The following is an 18,451-nucleotide window of genomic DNA, read 5'->3' as shown; positions in this document are numbered from 1 at the left end:
GGGCAGTGTGTGAAAAGGAGGTGGGGAACTCCTTAGCGGGATTGAAAACTTTATTGTGTTTTAAATAAAAGACTAGCTTAAAAAGAAAAAGATGTGAATTGGCTTACAGTAAAAAAGATAAATTAATACACTAATGAAAGGAGAGGGAAGACTATATTTTGTAGATAAGCCAAATTTATGGCCTTGCGCATTAACTTTACACACTAAAAACCTACTTCCCAGTTGGTTTAAAGCTTAGTATCTTCCTCTTGAATTGGTGACAGCAACCCTTGGTTTCTGTCTCTCTCTCTCTCTCTCTCTCTCTCTCACACACACACACACGTGCACACGTGTCTCCAATTATCTCAGAAGTGACAAAATAATCTCAAAATAAGTTTAATTTTGATTCAAAATAAATATGCACACATATTCACTTTATTTTTTATGGAAAAAGGGGGATAATGCAAAATAGCAAAAATTGTAAACAAAGTTAAAGATTATCTTCATCTAAACCTTAAGCTGACAATTTAAAACACCTTGTGCATAATGCAGAAAAAAACTGTCCGTTTGACTTCACTTTCATTCACACTGCTCCCTACGCATGAGAAAGACCAGATGTCTGGTTTCCAGAGTATTAAGCTTTTTCCTTAATACTTCTTAATTTTTTTTCAAGTTTAAAGAAAAACTGTAGCTTCTTCTGATCTTTAGCATTCTACAGTTTAATAATTTCATATACCAGAAGTGTTTCTGCAGAAAATGAGCTTTGAATATTTATGCATTTGCAACAGTCCACAAACGGCTTTGGAAAAAATTATTTGACTTTCATTTTGAAAACTCCATTTTTCTAAAAAAAAACCATAAATTCATAGTTTTCATGGAGAAGAGTGGTGGAGTACAATGGAGCATATGGAAAGAACACTGAATTTGGAGAGAAAGGTATGAATAGATGACATTTCCTTTTCCTTGTCTGATTCCTACTAATTGTAGAAAAAATATACATTATATATGGTATTCCTCCCTTCTTAACAGAAAACAATGTTTGGAAATTCCTGTGTAAAGCTAATTTGCCATGAGGAACATAAAGCCCATTAATGGGATATCCAGGTCCCTATGGGAATTTTTTTTTTTTTTTTAAACAGACACCATGTGGTGCAATCTGTTACAGTCTACAAGGTGGGGGTGGGGAGGGGAGCTCTGCAGGGGCCAGGAATAAAGTCATCTCTGGGAGTTTTTGAGGTATTAACAAAAATGGGAAAAACACTACAGCAGGAGCCTTGGAAATGCCTTCCCTTCTGCCCTCGATCGTAACCCAGGGTGTATTACGTTTATGCTTTTCAAAAATTATTTAGCAAGTTCTCAGTTTTAGGGAGAAAAAAACCTGAACCTTTTCTGAGATGGTTAGATTGCCATTTGTTTTGTATTTTTATCTAACCCACTGGTGATTTAATTTACAGATCTCAAAGGAAGTGCATGCTCAAATATTTGAGGATGTTAATGTATCAACCACTGTGTAATTTTGGAATTTGCCTACTCGCTTGACACAATATTTTACCATCTAACAAATGTTTAGCCTTTTTTTCACTTGACTAAAGAGAAGTAAGTTTCACATTGCTTCATTCACCTTCTTATGTGCATATGCTGGGAAAGATTGGATGTTAAAAAAAAAAACAACTTCCTCATGTTCCTTTCTACTACATCTAAATCTGTTTACCAATTCAAAGCTGCTAAAAAAACCTGCATTCTCCTGCTAAATCAACTGGATGGCTAGAAACCAAACTGTAATGTAACAGAAAAAAATTATCAATTTATTTTCATGACAGAACATTCTTGAGAAGGTATAAAATTGTTCTGGTTGCTATGCCAGTTTTCTTTTTTCTTCCTTCCTCTGTCTTCTTTTTTCAAAGGCTTTTAGCTTTTAAGCTGATACTTTTTATAGTTATATAACAGTTCTAATATTTTGTGACATTTTGTATTGTGACACTATAGATGAAATTGTCATCGGACTGACACCCTGTGCTGTTTATTCCTTAATTACAACTGTTAACACTGTAGAGAAGTGTGCTAATCTGCCAGCACATATTATGAAAACAACATTATTGTTACCCACACCAACACCCACTCAACAGGATATTTCCAAGATGGTAGTTTAAAGGAACTTATCGGCACAACGGACGTTTCAATATAGTTGTTGTTGTTGCTGTGTATTTAGCTTTTCCTATTGTCTTCTTTTAAAAACATAAACCAGTTTGAAATTTAAAACATTTCATTGTAATATAGCATAGGTACCCTTTACTAGCAGAGGCTGCCTCTATAGCTGGAAAGTTATATATACATATTTTTTTTTTCTTTTTTTTTTTTAAGTGCTCAAGCAGTGGTGGACTGAGGAATCTCAAAGCTGTTTAGGGTTGTGACCCAACGCTTTCTGACTGACAGTTTTTTCAGGAATAATGAAATTAGAAGGAAGCGGGAAGGGGAAGTTTAAAGATGAAAAGACAAGAGTGGGGTTATTTGCATTCACAAGGTTGGCAATCTTTAAATAACCAAGTCAAAATCCAATAACCTTTCCCAGCTCTAAAAGGCATCCTTTTTCAAAACCAAGTCTGAGTCTTCCTGAAACTGGCTACTTATTGACTGCTTTATAGTTCAGTTCTTTCTGTCTCCAGAACTTGCAGAGCTTTGGCTATCTGTGAGGGACAAAATCCTATGAATTTATTTTCTCATAAGTTATTTTGCTAGAGCAGTTTAGGTGTCATTGTCTTTTAATTTGTTAAAAGAAACAATAATGGTTTAAAAAAAAAAAAGAACCATGTTGATCCTATACCTTGTCCCTAAAAAGTAAGGATTCTAAAAAACTTAACTTAAAACCAGAACCAAGATACCTGCTTAGAGGAGAATGATTGTAAATTTTTTTTTTTTTAAAGCAACACACTCACAACACTGACAATAATTTAATTAATAAAGAGTCCACCTTTTAATATTCGTGTTTAACACATCTATGGGTTTGGTAGAAAGCAAATTCATGACCTTGAAATAGTAGTAGGTGATAACATGTGACTTGCCAGTAAATTCTCATATCTTCACTGTCACTTAGGAGATAATCGAAGAATATGAACATATTTAATTCCTAAAGTTCCTGCAATAACCTACATACACCTTAACATTCAGCTTTATTAAACAGGCTTTTTGAAATAGCATGTGAAGAAGTTATCGCTGTGCCTCATTTTGAATGGTATTTTCTGCTTCATTTTGATTTTCAACAGCAAAAGGATATGGTGCTCTTCCTAAAAGAAACTGTTCCCATTTGGGAATATATTCTTCTACTGATGCCCAGTAACGAGTCTGGAAAAAAAAATCCAAAAGTAAAAAAGCATATCAAGCAATTGAACTTGGCTCTTCATAATAGTCTAAATGTTTATTCACTTAAGAGTGTGTATGCGTGTATACACACACACACACACACACATATATGTAGAATGCATTTCCTCTACAGAATATTTTATGTTAATTTTAGAAAAAAATCTGGCTACTTACTAGTGTTAATTTTCAAATTTCTCAGTAAAACCAGAGCCTGGCAGAATTACAGGTTTTAGAATTTTATTGTGATTTTACACGCCCTCTTGTGGCCAACTTCATGATTATTGCTAATAGTATCATTTATGGTGATATAATCATTAAATGTTTTTGTTTAATATTCCAAATCCCATACCAAATGATTACCCCATACTGAAATTATTACAATGAAATTATCAAACATAAATCATGCTTCAGGATTAACATCAAAAGATTTGACCTGGGATGAGATCAGGAACTGAAATACAACTAGTGTGTTATAGTACAGGAATTAGAGATATTGGACCCTTAATTGTGTAGGAAATATATATCCACTATAATTTTTCCCCATTTTTGTGATGACAAAATGTCAATATAATTTAACCATTTTTAATACAAATAGCTTGGAAGTTGAGATGCTGTATTATTGGTCTGACTGTAGAAGTCTATAGGCTTTAGAAGCTCATGAAACATTGCTGTGTTGTGTCTAGCTTTGGTTTCTTGGGTGACTGCCCTAGGGAGGTCAAAGAGAACTAAACTGCCCAAAGCCCTGTGTCATAGGAGGGCAACTGATATTAGATCATCACTATCAATCTCATTTTTGGAAATTCAGCCAATGAGATAGCACTAGAAACACAAAAATATTCACTCCAAGCATTAAATACAGCAGTTCTGAAAGTTGAAAATGGTGAGGGATTCTATATGTCTATATATCCATGCATGTGGTCTGAGAAACAGCCTGACATACATAAAGTAAAGGTCATCCTGCTGTGAAAGACTAGTTAAGAAAAATACCATCTGAGGCCCGTGGTTGGGAGTTTCCCTGACATTCACAGCTGGAGTAACTCCCATTGTGTGGGTCCTGTATATGCCAGAGTAAGGTATAGGAGAATCAAACAAAGAAAAAGCATGTCCAAGACACAACTTTGTACCAGAGTTTTTTGTATCCTTGATCACTGCCTTGTTTTATTACCCTAGATGACACAGAAAATTGAGGGGAAAATTCTCAGCCTCTAATTTTGAGTCTATTTATCCCCAGTTGGGGAGAAAGCAAAACTGTATTTGAGAAAGGTCATTAAAAATACAAAATGAAACTATTCCATATGTAGTAAATTCCCATTCATCACAAACATATTCATATACCAAATATAGTTTATTTTTGCTAACCATCTTCCCAATCTCTTCTTGAACTGAACAAAATAAAACAGACAAAAGCCATACTATATTGTATGATAATATGCATTTAATTAGCTATGGTTAAATTTTTGGTGAAGGGACTAAACTGCTACTTCTAACATCAGCAAGCAGCAAAAGCATTTGAGTTAGGCGTGTTGTCATCTCATGATTTAGTGCATATTGTCTGTTATGGTTTAACAGGATAGTTGTTTCTAAGTGACAAGGTGAAAAGATCCCTATCTTTATAAAATTTCCAACTGCTAAACTTTTTAAAATCAAGATACTTCTCAGTTACCTACTATGTATAAAGTACAGTACTGTGGACATAAAAAGCTCAAACAGGCATATCTTCTTTAATTTACTGAATAAATATATCTGGAAAATACACATAACCATTGTTTAACTTGTAGTGCACTACTGATAGATAGATAGGGTCTCTCTTTTTACATTTGTTCCTTAAGATGCTCACCTCAAGAGAAACCACCTCAGGCCGTGGAAGTGGGTGAATCCTGGTCTGTAGTGACTTTTCTGCTGCTTCTATATCCTGTAACAGATATCGGCATTTTATATTAAAGTGGATTTACATAAAACAAATGGCACCTGTACTAGCAATATCTGTATCCCAAATCTCTCACCTCAACTCTTCTCTGGATATAATCTGAATGGATGGAGGCACACTATGGTAGGAAAACTGATCATTGTTCAATTAATCCATTTCAGATAAAGAATACAGCATTTCTTATTTTGATAGGGGTGGGGGAGGTGGTACTTCTAAGTTCTGCCTTTTCACTTTTGAATAGCTAGTAAATGTCAGTAATTCATGCACCAAGAGTGTCTTATAATACTGCTCAGTGCATTAATTTAGCTCTTACATCACTAAAAAACAGCCAGAAAGATGATAAAATAATAAAATATTCAGATACAAAAATAGTCAGATACTCAGACCCACCCTGTGCTAATCTTAAAAGTGAAGAGTTCTAGTCTCTCCAGATGATGTAAATAGTGTATCAATGGCACACATTTCATTTATTCAATGTTCAATTTAAAAATTTATATATATGCAAATATTACATATATTTATGGAAGCTCAGTAAGATACCTCAGTACTTAGTGACAAGAACCTTTTCATTATACTGTCTAGATTTTTTTAGTACTAGCTTTCTAAGCTAATTTCAATAGCAAGTTTTATTGCTAGCTAGTATGTCATTCAGCTGAAAGTATTCAAGCACCATGCTTTAATGTGTAGTTTTACTTGTACATATGTGTATTTTCTCTTATAGCTGTAAAAACACCAAGGTAACTAAACTTCATTCATACCCTGGTAAAGATTCTTATCTTGATATATACATGAAGTAAATGCCCAGAAATGCAGGACTCCGCAAATTTTTAGTGAAACATTTGAGCATTGTCTAATAAATGCTCCCAAAATCAGCACCCATGTTGTCTTGTTCCCACTTATGTCTGTCAAGTTCACAGTGGCCTTGGTCACAGGCCATATAAATTTTGTCTCTCTTTTGAGCTTAGTGAGTTGATAGAAAAGAGAAAGTTCTCTGATTCCTGTACAAGCATTGGAGCAATCTAAGTAGAGGGCTGTTGGACAGACGGAGAGAGATGGAAAAGGGCGTGGGAGTGGGGTGTGAAGGAGCCAATGCTGAACAGGAGAAAAGAGATAGCAGATGGTAGCGGCGGGAGCAAGGAATGGGTGTGAAATGTAAAAGGGAAAAACAGGAAATTCCCTAAAGGGACTCCCCAAAGTTGCACAACCATTAATGCACCTGCTGTCTAGAGGAAGGTGATTTGAAGGAAAAAAGCCATGAATTTAGGGGAAAAAGCTGATTTTTAGCATGTCTATCCCATACCGGAAGTTAATAGCTAAGATGCCTGCTAAAGAGCTTTTGATGCTGACACTACGACAGATACAGAAGCCTAATAACATTTGTGCGATTATACCGAGATTTTACAAGGTCCTGGAAAACATGTTTTTTACCTTTATAAATCAAATAAACACAAATAAAATAATCACAAGTCCAATTATGGTCATTATTCTAAGAAGTTATAAGATTATTGTTAGTGGCAGATCTTGGCGCCACTTAGCATTGTAGACAATATTATAAGCATTTTTCTTGAAGACCAGAAAATAAGGATACTTATTATCTCTCTTACAGGAGAGCAGATTTGTAAATGGAAAAGCAGATACAAATAGGAGACATGTGGCCTGGTAAAGCAGGCCTATGGTTAGACACTTGACTGTTACCTCTGCAGCATTCTGACTATAAATGATCAGCCCTCTGAAAAACTTCTTCCTTAGCTTAAGAGATATTTGCTTTCTTAGATGACATGCTCACCTCTGATTACTACCTTTCTTCCTCTTTAGCTCGCTAATTTTTCTCTCCTTGTTCCTAAGTGTGAGCTTTCTTAAGATCTGTGGCAGCTGTCCTCTTATTTTTACCTTATCTCTCTCAAGACTGTGGTCTATCTAGCTTTAATAACTTTTACTGTAGAGGCATGGCTAACCTTTCTTCCTAGCCCTTACTTCTCAACCAAATGAAACTAAGCTCATCTTATTCCTACTGGATATAATGAATGAACAATAGTGGGAATTCTCTTCCCTCAGATACCTATGCTCTATACTCTATCTTTAACTCTTCTTATACCTGCCATTTAAATTTTCAAAGGTTTATAAATTGTTCTTTCAGGATATCTCTCCTAGCCTTTCCATTTCATTCCCAATGCTATGGCCTTATTATTACACTTATTCATTCAACAAATACTTGAGGAGTACTTACTCTATGATGCATGCCTAGAGTATGTCTTGTTTTACTTCCAACTATACCTAAGAGGGGATCAATTCATTTTTCTAAAGAACTACTTTGAATATGTCTTTCCCTAGACTTAAAAAATCATCAGTACCCACTACATAGAGGACGAAGTGTGAATTCCTTAGCCTGACTGAAAAAAAAAAAAAAAAAACTTCGCAATTTGATCCTAGCCTTCTGTAGCCAGTTATACCCTAATACTTCCATATAAGAACCTTTCCTTTGATTATATACTACCAGAAGGTAAGGACTGCGTCCCATACAACCTTTATGCATCTGAGTATCTAACAAAGTGCAGGGCATGTACTAGGCATTAAATATTCATTAAATGCATAAATAAGATGTCAAAGTTTCCTGATTATAAACCAAAACTTTTTTTAAAAAAAGGTATCCAAGGCAGGCAGAGGCAAAGGAAAAAGGGGGGCGAAAAGGGAGGCAATGCTTACTTGACTATACTTTGTTTCTTTGTCTTATAGACTTGCCACTAGAACATTTAAAATTTTATATAGTTATAGGACAAATAAAAAAGCAATTCCCCCCAAAATGGAAACCAAATGTGACAAATCTAACTATTATGTAGTTGGTGGTATAACCACACAGAGAAGAGCTACATCAAGTGTTCTTAGAACACAGTATTGACTGGACACCCCTAGTGGGGGTACACCCTGGAGACAAAAAGAAATTGTAAAAATTATCTTACTGAAAACCATTCTCAGTAATCATATTATTGGTGATAGCTATGCCTGTATCATAGAATAATTCTTTGGAAACAGATTTTTGGTGTTAGAAAAAGAAGGTTAGATGCATAAGATCAGCGATTTTAATTTAAATCTGCAATCGTGCAATTGAATTGGAGATACTGTTATGAGCTCTTGATGTATTTTATCTTAACAACAACAACAAAACAAGTTGCAATAAACATTCCTAGTGCCCAGATTGAGAGATCTAAATATATTTCCTGCCAAAAGGAACCAGGGCTTCTTGGAGCAATGGCCAATTCCAGGTCTGGGCAGCAAAGGCACACAATGAGCCTGGAATAACTTATCACATCATAAAGAAAAGAAACTATCAAAGACTGTTAGGATCATGTCAAAGACATTCAAGAGTTAACTTGAAGAGGCTTCCCCATAGTAAAAATGGGACACATCAGGCATAAATAAGAACAAAAATTGCAAGGGATCGAAACATTGCAAATCCCAGATAAATTAAAAACAAAATACCACCTCATTCGTCACCATTAGAGGATGCCAGAGAACCAAACTATGATTTTGAAAGCTATAGAGAAAGTGTTCACCAGTCATCATACCTTTTCCTACATGAACTGTATGTACTTCAGTGTAATCAAGTAAGTGATGAGGGGAAGATTCTCTTCATATAAGTTACAAGCTATTGAAAGAGAAGGAATAAAAGAATTTGAATATTCTTTTTGCAACTTCTAATGAATATATCTAGGCAATGATCATCAATGACTGCCAACGTTCCAAAATGAGAGACAGCCAGGAATTATGGAAATGTTCTTCCCCCAAACAATGAACCTGAATCTGATCCAGCCTCTAGAACTTCTCATGTGGCTACTGAGCACTAAAAATGTGGCAAGTCCAAACTAAGATGTGCTGTAAGTGCAAAACATACACTGAATTCAGAAGGCTTAGTAAGAAAAAGAATATGGGATATTTAATTACGAATTTTTGATAGAAACATTTGAAATAATATTTTGTACATGCCTCATTAAAATGTTATTAATTTCATCTGTTTCTTTTGACTTTGTTAAAAGTGGTTACTAGAAAATTTTAATTACATATGTGCTCACATTATATTTCTGTTGGACAGCACAGCTCTAGATCAATTTATAGGAATTACGGAGAATACAGGAACATGCAAAATGATACGTCAGAGATGTAATTAGCAATATCCAAACTGGGAAACGCATAGGACAAATGACCTAATTCCTTTACACATAAATTAAAAGTGGATGAAAAGGTCAGGGGATACTTTTAGAGACTTATCAATCAAGTACAATGTTAGATTTTATTTGGAGTCTAATCCAAACAAATGTAAACATGCCTACAGATTTATCAGAGAAATGTGAACTCTGACTGAATACTTGAGGAATTAGTGGTAATTTCTTATTGATAATAGTATTGTGATTTTGCTTAAAATAGTAAAATAGTCCTTATAATTTAGTGATATACACAGAAAAAATACATATATTCAGAAATAGCTATAGGTGAAACAATATGATTTCTGGAGAATACCTTCAAAATAATCTGAGTGGTTGGGGAAGGGGATGAGGTATATAGATGAAGCAAGATTGGCCATGTTTCGATAATTATTGAATCTGGGTAATAAGCACATGCAAGTACATTCTTCCATTCCCTCTTCTATATAGGCTTGAAACTCTTCATAACAGTTAAAAAACAAGTTCCCAGTGTGGATGATGGTATAAATGTTACTCTATGGCAGAATTGAGAAGGCTATATTTAAATGAGTTGATTCATGATTAGGAAAGGTGAAATATGAGCACAGAAAGTCACATGCTGAGATCTCTTTCTCTTCCCATCCCTATACATGCCACTTCCTCCAAAACTTGAAATCTAATACCTCACTATAAATATATACAGTGAATCCAGCTATGGCCAGGCTGGTTTTAATCTTTTAATCTGCTGGAGGGCCAATTTCTGGGATAGAAAAAATAAGATACTAAAGCATGAGATACAGGGTCATTGGTACAATGTAAGCATTTATTAAACATATTCTTCAAGGAACCGGAGGTGAGAAATGTAAGAAGGAAAAAGGAGAGATAGGGTCCTGTAAGTCACCGACCATCTTGGATGGCAGTTTGTTGAAGTCTCTGTTTAACTGCCAACTGCCCCATAAAGGCTTCCAGGGCATTCTTCAGTGGAAGGATTCTCTCACCGGCTGCAGCACTTTCTCATTCTTTCTCACCCCGGAGTGTTTGTCCAGCTTACTCATGAGCTTACTCTTGAGGTGATGTTTACTTACAGAATTGCCTTTTTTTTTTTTTTTTTTGAGACGAAGTCTCACTCTGTCCCCAGGCTGGAGTGCAGTGGCACAATCTCGCTCACTGCAACCCCCTGCTTCCCGGGTTCAAGCAATTTTCCTGCCTCAGCTTCCAGAGTAGCTGGGACTACAGGCGCGCACCACCACACCCTGCTAATTTTTGTATTTTTAGTAGAGACGGGGTTTCACCATGTTGGCCAGGATGGTCTTGATCTCTTGATCTGCCCGCCTTGGCCTCCCAAAGTGCTGGGATTACAGGCGTGAGCCACCGCACCTGGCCCTACTTACACAATTGCCTTTCTAGATAAAACTAAATTTTATGGTAGGTACGTGGGGAGAGATGTCAGCTTACAGTGTGGCAGTATTTATAAAAAACACAATTTTCTCTTTCTCTTTCAAATCTATACCAATTCTGTTATGTTCTTAAAAGGCAGATAAATTCCATTTTACTAATACTAACAGGGAAAAATCACCCACCCTGTGTTTTCAAAGTTCACTATCTTTTATGATAGTTACTGACTGAAGCCTATTCTTCACTACCTACATTCATATCTATTCATTTACTAATATGCTCAAATATTTGATGGAATTGGTCTCTTCCTCACTGCTCCTTTTTAAAATACATTCTTTGATATTTTATATTCCTGCTACTTTCCAAAGGAATTTACAGAAATTTTATTGAGTTCAAGGCAAATTCTGTTGGAACTTATTTAAATCTAAAAATAATTTTGTGATAGCTGTTTTTTTATTTTATGTTAGTTTTTACAAAGACTCAATTCAGAGGGTATGTGTAACAGCTGACTTTAAAAAAACAATAGTCTTCCTAGTCAGGATTAAGGCATATGTTTCCTTGTAAGTTTTCTTTTAAATCTTCCATTTCAGTGTAATAATTGTCTTCACACCAATCAGGCAAACCCCTTGTTAAGATCATTCCCAAGTATTTTAGAATTTTATTGCTAATGTGAACTTCATTTCTTATATTTTCCAGTTGTATACATAGAATTACTATTGATTTTTGTATCTTTTATCCATCAGTTTTACTTAACTCATATTATACTACTTTTAGAACAAATTTGGCTTTTTAAAGTATATAACCATATCATTCCAAAATGCTAGTGTTATACTTTCCTTTTCAAAAGTGAAAGCTCATTCCTTTTTAATGTTTATTATATTGGTCAGAAGATCTAAATAAGGTCAAATAATGGATGTTAATAGAGGTCATCCATATTTTGTACTCTTATTACAGAAATGCTTTCAAGTTTTATTGGAACCATTTTTAAAGTGTAGGCTGTACTTCTGAAGTACCTGTCCTAGATGTAACTTAACTTGTCCTGAACAAGTTTATCAGGAGTAATTGCCCTATGGTTTCCTCATCTTTAAATTAAGGAATTAGCCCAGATCAGTGGTTTTCACAATTGCTTAAAGCCACAGCTGGGCAGTCAAGGAAAGACTGAACAGTGAGGCTTTGACCCAAAGCAGGTCCACCTCTATCTATTTTAACATGAAAGAAGTTTTAGTGCTAAAAAAAGTTAAATACCTTTACATGAGAATCAAATCTAATATACATATTTTTAAAGTGTCTACCAACTCAAAATTCTGCAATCAAGTCTTATTTATTTATTTTTCCCCAGACACAGAGTCTCACTCTGTCACTCAGGCTGCAAGTTCAGTGACTGCAGTGCATGATCATAGCTCACTGCAACCCTGAACTCCTGGGCTCAAGGGAACTTCCTGCCACAGCCTCCCAAGCAGCTGGGACCAAAGGCATACACCACCACGTCCAGCTAGTTTTTTAACTTTTTTTTTTAGAGATAGGGTCTTGCTGTGTTGCTCAGGCTGGTCCTGAACTCCTGGGCTCAAGTGATCCTCCAGCCTTGGCCTCCCCAAGTGTAATCCAAAGATTATAGACATGAGCCACTGTGCCCGGCTAAGTCTCATTTATTTTACTTTCATAATGACTTCTATGGTAGAGCCACTAAAATTCTTTCCAAAGTTTAAAAACATACGAGGAAAGTAGGATTTTAAAAATTGCATATGCAATGACTCAAAGAATGCAAAAAAAGAGAAGAGGCAGCATCTCTAGCAGCAAGCACTGTGTTTGTGATATAATAGATGCTCAATAAATGTTTATTGAAGTACTGAAAGAAAATATACAAAAATGTATTAATTTTAGATCAATAGGATGATATGGAAGGTATGCTATTTCGTCTACTTTACACTTTAAAAAATTTTTTTTACAGTAGGAATATATTACTTTGATAATCAGGGGAAAAATCATACCAAATTGAAGTTTCTCATAACTATGAAACCAGGTTCATTATGTTCCTTATATATGTATGACTACGATTTCTTAGCTACCCTTCTGAACACTGTTCTCTCCATTTTTGAAATCATCTTGCATCTAAATAGCAAATGAATCTTTCTTAAATACCCACTCATTTATTTCTTATATAAGTCTATATTTTCCTTTTGCTTAGTCATTTTCAGTACTGAATTATGTCTATATATCAAGTCTCAACTTCTTTGGTCCCATAACACATATCCAACCTTGTTTCCTGTGAATTTCTAAGCTAGTTAGTCACGCTCCCAGGATCATTAACAAGGTCAGTCTTCTGGTCTTGGCTCTTTTGTAAGAATCCAACAGTATGCCTTGCCTTCTGCCTATTGAAACACAGGCTAGGCTTAGCTTCTTCTCTGAGACCTTTTGGAATATTCTAGCTCTCAAAGATGTTTTAACTCTTATTTCTGTAGTCCTGACTCCATTCCATGTAATTTAATGTTTGATCACACAAAGTTTCTGGGTTCTTGATATCAAGAGCTCTGATTTATACTTATTTTGTTGTCCCTACTTTCTGCCCAGAACTAGCTCAATAGTAAGGACCCTCTAAGCATTCATCAAATACTTGCTCATTAAAAGGAAAATGCTTGAAAACCAAATATCATATCACGTGCTGCAGGTAGGTAGCAATTAAGCCTTCTAATTTAGTTTTTCTAACTTTTCAGAGCAAATTCCAGATTATCCTATATATTTCCATTTAAAAATAAATATTGCTAACACCATTGGGCAAGTAAGACATATGGCAATATAGAATGCTTTGGTAGCACTATGGCTGTGACTTAAATTACTGTGGATCAAACTGCCAGAAGCTGAGAAGATAACTGAATTTTCCTCTTCCTTTATCCTCTAGTGAGGACAGAAGATAACTATATCATGCCTATCGATGAAAATATTTAACAATAAAAAACTGAAAACACTGCTTTATAACTTAAATAATATAGTCTTACTACCAAATGTTTTAGTCATAGGATCTCTTGGAAGCTTGAATGGAAGCAAACTTTAGGGTTTTAATTATGGATGAAGCCATACAATTCTGGAAGCAAAGTATAACAAGCAGCCAAAAATGTTACACATATGATTCTACTCCAAATGGGCACATTGGCCAAATGGTGAGGCCCCGCACAATCATACACTTTGACCACTCCTCCATATCCATCAAGAGGGAGCTGGGAAATCTGTTATCATAGATATGAATTCTGTGTGTTTACCTAGTCAGACAAAATCAAATTGTTCTTGTTTTTATGATGTTTGATAGTTGTGAGTTGGCTCTCAATATCTTATAGGTACTTTATGGCCTTTCAGGATTTCCTTTCAAATAAAAGAAGATGAAAGATGGAAAGGTACATCTTCTGTTTCTTACTTCTTGCAAAAGGGTGACCTTACAATTCCTTCTGTAGTCATTGATTTTCTAGTTGATTGCAAACATTTAGCTTAAGCAAAGTTCAATTTTTTTAATTTAAAAAAATGAGGATACATATGCTACTTATCTAACTGACATGGGCTTTTAAAAAAGATGCTGCTTTAGTAATTCTACTTATTACTGAGAACCAATAAGTTATATAAATCAATTTTATGAAACTTACCTAAAAGATTTTTGAGAAGGTGGGATAAATCTCTATATTCAAGTCATGGAAACTTACCTTTAAAAGACTAAGGTTCCTTTTAAAAGCAGTCTCAACAGTTTGGAGTTGAGATGCCTTTTCTGTGTGTTGATCACCCAATTTATTCTCCATTTGTTGAAGTAACATTAATCTTTGTGATACTCTAGAAAAAAAACGAAGATTATATAGAGTTAAAAAAGTAAAAGCAAACATTTTACTGCTTGACCAATATAAAAAATTCATTTCTTAATTGCACCTCACTTCAACTCTAACCTATTCTGAAAGTCAATTACTATGTCGACTAATAAGACAGTGAAAAATCTGAGGTAGTTCAATAAGTCTTAAGTCAATCTGGTTAAAATTATTTTTATTTTCATTAACATATTCTTTATATATGCCATAAGTACATGCTTCTGTTTTTTTAGCCTCTCTGGTCTTTTGAAATTATTTTAGAATGTTGAAGATATGTTTTAATTTTTGGTGAAAATGCAAACTGTAATACATATCCCTTTGTACACATAGTTATATATACCTCCCGACACACATACATTGATATAACTTGCTATATGAAACCTTCTGCTTAACACTTCAGTACCCCTGAATCTCATGTTACACATTTAGAATTGTGCTAAACTTCCATATGTTTGAAGAAGCAATAAAAATATTTTTTCCCTCTTTTTCCAAGAGAAAGATGATGGTTTGATATATGAGTGAGAGGCTGTGTGTATGTATGCATACTCACAACAAGGTAAAACAGTAATTGAAGAAAGATGTAAAAAATTACAAGTAAACATCTTCAAACTACTTCGTTACATATAATATACTTTAAAAGTTTCTTGCTGGTCAAATGCTTATTTTATATGTTTTTGTTCTTTTTAGGACAATATGTAAGATGATTAAAAGATACATACGTTGGTATACATAACAGTCAAACTGTTTCCCAAATAGTTGTGGAGGTTCTCAAGAAACACTGTGTTTCATCAGGCTGTCTTAAAGGTGGAATTAAAATCTCAGGTCTATGAACAGTCAATTTTTTGGTAAGGAAAGTATCTTAGGAGCCAAGGAAAGAACGTCTGGTAATTAATTAAAGAAAAGGAAAACCTGAAAGCCCACAAACAGAGGAGGAAAAGAGTGAATAATACAAAGCAAAGAGCAGGACTGGCTACACAATTTGCAGGGTCCAGTCCAAAATGATGCAAGACAATGGCATGAGAGCATTAAACCAAATGCAGGACCTGTGACTGTATATAAGTCACATACCCAAGAAGCCAGCCCTGTGTAAGAGGTTTAGAGAAGCCCATTAAATGCCAATGTGGAGCCTAGAAAGGGTGGGAGGAGGGGCAAATTTATCTATATATTACTTACAAAGAGTAAAAATACATAGAACATACCTTTTAATCTTGCTTATTCATAAGAAACAATGAAATTCCCTAACACTAAAACCTCTTAAGTGTCAGAAAATTAAAATGACATGCTTGCAAATTTTTAAGTCATCCTGTGTATACAATATTTCACTAACAAAGCCAGTCCAATTTCTATATCTGAATCATCCCTTTAAAAAAACTTACATTTCTTCATGTCTTTTAGAAAGGCGAATTTCTTGAGCAAACAAGGAAGTCATCTTTAATCAAAGCTGTCATAAAGAATAAAAACATTTAAAGTTACTTCTACCACATGTCCTCAGCTTTGCAACATTTGATTATTTTAGTACCTTAATCCATTGGTTCTCTCAGAAGAGAAAAGAAAACTTAAGATGTAATAATGTATAAAATGAAAGGATGCAATTAAACACATTTTTATTCAGCATGCCAGATACATCTAAGAATACTATGAATTAGGTAAACCCAACATATTTCATATTGTCTTCTCTTTCTAGACTCTAACCTTAATCAGAATTAAAAACAAACAAGCAGCTGGTACTAAGACTACTAAACGTTTTATTGAATCAACAGAAAAAAAATCTGCTCTGTAAAATTCAACACAGGAACACCATCCCTTATGCATGTGCAAACACACATAGACAGAAAGGCAGGCAAACAAGTATGAGAACCAACTGGAAATTCAAGGTCTTTCCTTTATTGGAAGAGTGCCCAGTTCTACCATCTCTCTTCTAAATAGGAAAGTACTTTTCATGTGTAACTGCGAGGAAAAGCACAATTAGATAGATACCTTCCCCTTCCCCTGGCTGCTAAGCACTCTCATTTGTGGAGTGCAGGAAAGCCCATTTTCGTGGCACACTTCACACCACGAGCAAGCTCACCTTGGCTAAAGACACTGGACCGACACAGACAGAGGTCTAGTGAAATGCTCTGAAGGCCTCCAAAACTGCAGGCAACTCATCTGGTTGGGCTTAAAAGGTTAAAGTGCTTGCCCTAAGGGAGAAAAAGAGGAATAAAATTCCTTCCTGAAATGAAGCTTTCCTAAATTTTATGAAATTAAACATCTATGCACTCTATAAAGATTGTCTAAAGATTGACACACCGCCTGAGTGTCCAGTCCTGCTAGAAAGCCCACGCTTATTGAGTGTAGGGTGCTGAACCCGGCCAAGGAAAACGGAAACACCGCCCTGCCCTCATTAGGTTTCCTCCTCTGGGCGTGGCTGCCTTTCCTTCAGCACCGCGGACAGCAATCGCTCACAGGCCCGCCCTCCGGGGTCTAAATTACAGATATTTTCCGCTAACATCACCCGCAGGCCAAGTCTTGCCGCCTTCCTCTCGGTTTCCTTTTGCAACGAGGCCAATTAATGCAGCGCCAAGGGAATCCCGGAAAGTCGGTTCATGGTAACTTTTCTGTGAGGCCCACTATCAGCACTTTAGACAAAACCAAATCACATTCTCCCCTTAGAATCGAAGATCCGCACCTTCTCAGAGTCATCTGCCCTCCGGCCGCCCCAACTCCCGCTTATACCCAAAGGACTCATGAACCTTCCTCATCAGCCTGGCTCTTTACGTTAACAACATCCTCCCCAGCGGTCCTGCAAGGCCCTGCGCGGCCGTCAGGCAGTCAGGGCACCCACCCACTGTCCGACTCCACTCACCGAGCCCGCCTCTGAGCCCTTCCGGGAAGGCACCAGCTACTGCGCCGACGCCGGGGCCTTAGCGCAGGCCAGGGCGTGGTCACGTTACCATATTTGCGCACGCGCGGCGCGCGGTGACGTCACCGCATCTTTATAAAGGGCCGCCTTGGGGCGCGAAAAGTTCGTGAGGTGTAGTCGCGGCAACCAGGAGGTGGGCGTGTGGTAACGCGGCGCGCGGGAGGGTGGCTTGAAAGGGTCTTTATGAACCCTAGGGAAAGGCCGTCTGGTAGGAACTCCATTTCAAGACCTTTTAAAGTGAGACCTGCATATGTTGAAAGAGTTTCAGAGAGTGAAGCTGGGTTCTTAGAAGCTGGAATGTCCCAGCAGAATGTAGAAATGCGAAAAATTCGGCACAGTAGTCTAAAGTGAGTCGAGTTTACAGTCGGTTTATTCAACGAATGCCTGTGGAGCAGTTTCGAGGTGCTTCGTCCTGGGCGTCTTATACTGAGCAGAGCAGCAAGAGCCCCTGCCTGCTCATAGTTGGTAGACCCTGTGTTGACAGTAGTATTGCTTGATCATGCCTTGCGGGGTTTCTGAGTGTCAGTCGACATATTTACGTTGGTTATCTCATTGAGTCCCCGCAAAGCCCTGTGAAATGGGCACATTAGCTTCATTTGACAGCCAAGGAGACAAGCTTGGTTGTTAATTTAGCACTTTGTAATATCTCGTTTCTGTAAAGTGCGTTTCTTAATTTTCGTTCCTTGAAATAAGTATATGGTAGTGTCAGTCCTCTAATATACAGAGGAAGAAACAGGTTCAAGAGAGGTAAAGTTGTTTTCTTTATAAATTATACTCTGCTGGTAAAAGACAAAGAGCTAGGACTCCAAAATCCAAGGTGTTTTTTAAATTTTCTCCTCGTAGAATATTTACATAAAACGTAGCTCTTGCGTCAGGA

At 36.2% G+C, this 18,451-nt stretch overlaps 1 protein-coding gene and 1 long non-coding RNA gene across 9 annotated transcripts in view; one reads left to right on the top strand and one right to left on the bottom strand.

Annotated features, from left to right (window-relative positions):
* Nucleotides 1–359: 359 nt before the first annotated feature.
* On the bottom strand, nucleotides 360–17,551 carry CEP15 (centrosomal protein 15). 6 transcript variants are annotated; one of them, XM_017006931.2, is made up of 6 exons: nucleotides 16,962–17,551; nucleotides 16,741–16,852; nucleotides 16,049–16,113; nucleotides 14,520–14,643; nucleotides 5,174–5,248; nucleotides 360–3,318 (listed from the first exon to the last, which is right to left on the bottom strand). In XM_017006931.2, exons 3-6 carry the CDS (start codon nucleotides 16,099–16,101, stop codon nucleotides 3,184–3,186), a joined length of 387 nt encoding a protein of 128 aa, XP_016862420.1. In that variant the 5' UTR covers nucleotides 16,102–16,113; nucleotides 16,741–16,852; nucleotides 16,962–17,551; the 3' UTR covers nucleotides 360–3,183. The 6 variants fall into 6 exon arrangements, with proteins under 6 accessions (XP_016862420.1, NP_065736.1, XP_047304587.1 ...); NM_020685.6 differs by having other exon boundaries at nucleotides 17,341–17,551; XM_047448631.1 differs by having other exon boundaries at nucleotides 17,405–17,551.
* Nucleotides 17,552–17,625: 74 nt separating this feature from the next.
* PTPRG-AS1 (PTPRG antisense RNA 1) overlaps nucleotides 17,626–18,451 on the top strand; it is a 57,129-nt gene continuing 56,303 nt past the window's right edge. For all 3 annotated transcript variants that reach the window (NR_038281.1, NR_038283.1, NR_038282.1), the window contains exon 1: nucleotides 17,626–17,707. This is a non-coding gene — a long non-coding RNA (PTPRG antisense RNA 1). The remainder of the gene's footprint in view (nucleotides 17,708–18,451) is intronic.

The sequence above is a fragment of the Homo sapiens genome, chromosome 3 (assembly GCF_000001405.40).
Source record: "Homo sapiens chromosome 3, GRCh38.p14 Primary Assembly".
NCBI lineage: Eukaryota > Metazoa > Chordata > Mammalia > Primates > Hominidae > Homo > Homo sapiens.
The sequence above is the reverse complement of the archived record's forward strand: the minus strand, read 5'-3'. Positions and strand labels throughout refer to the sequence as shown.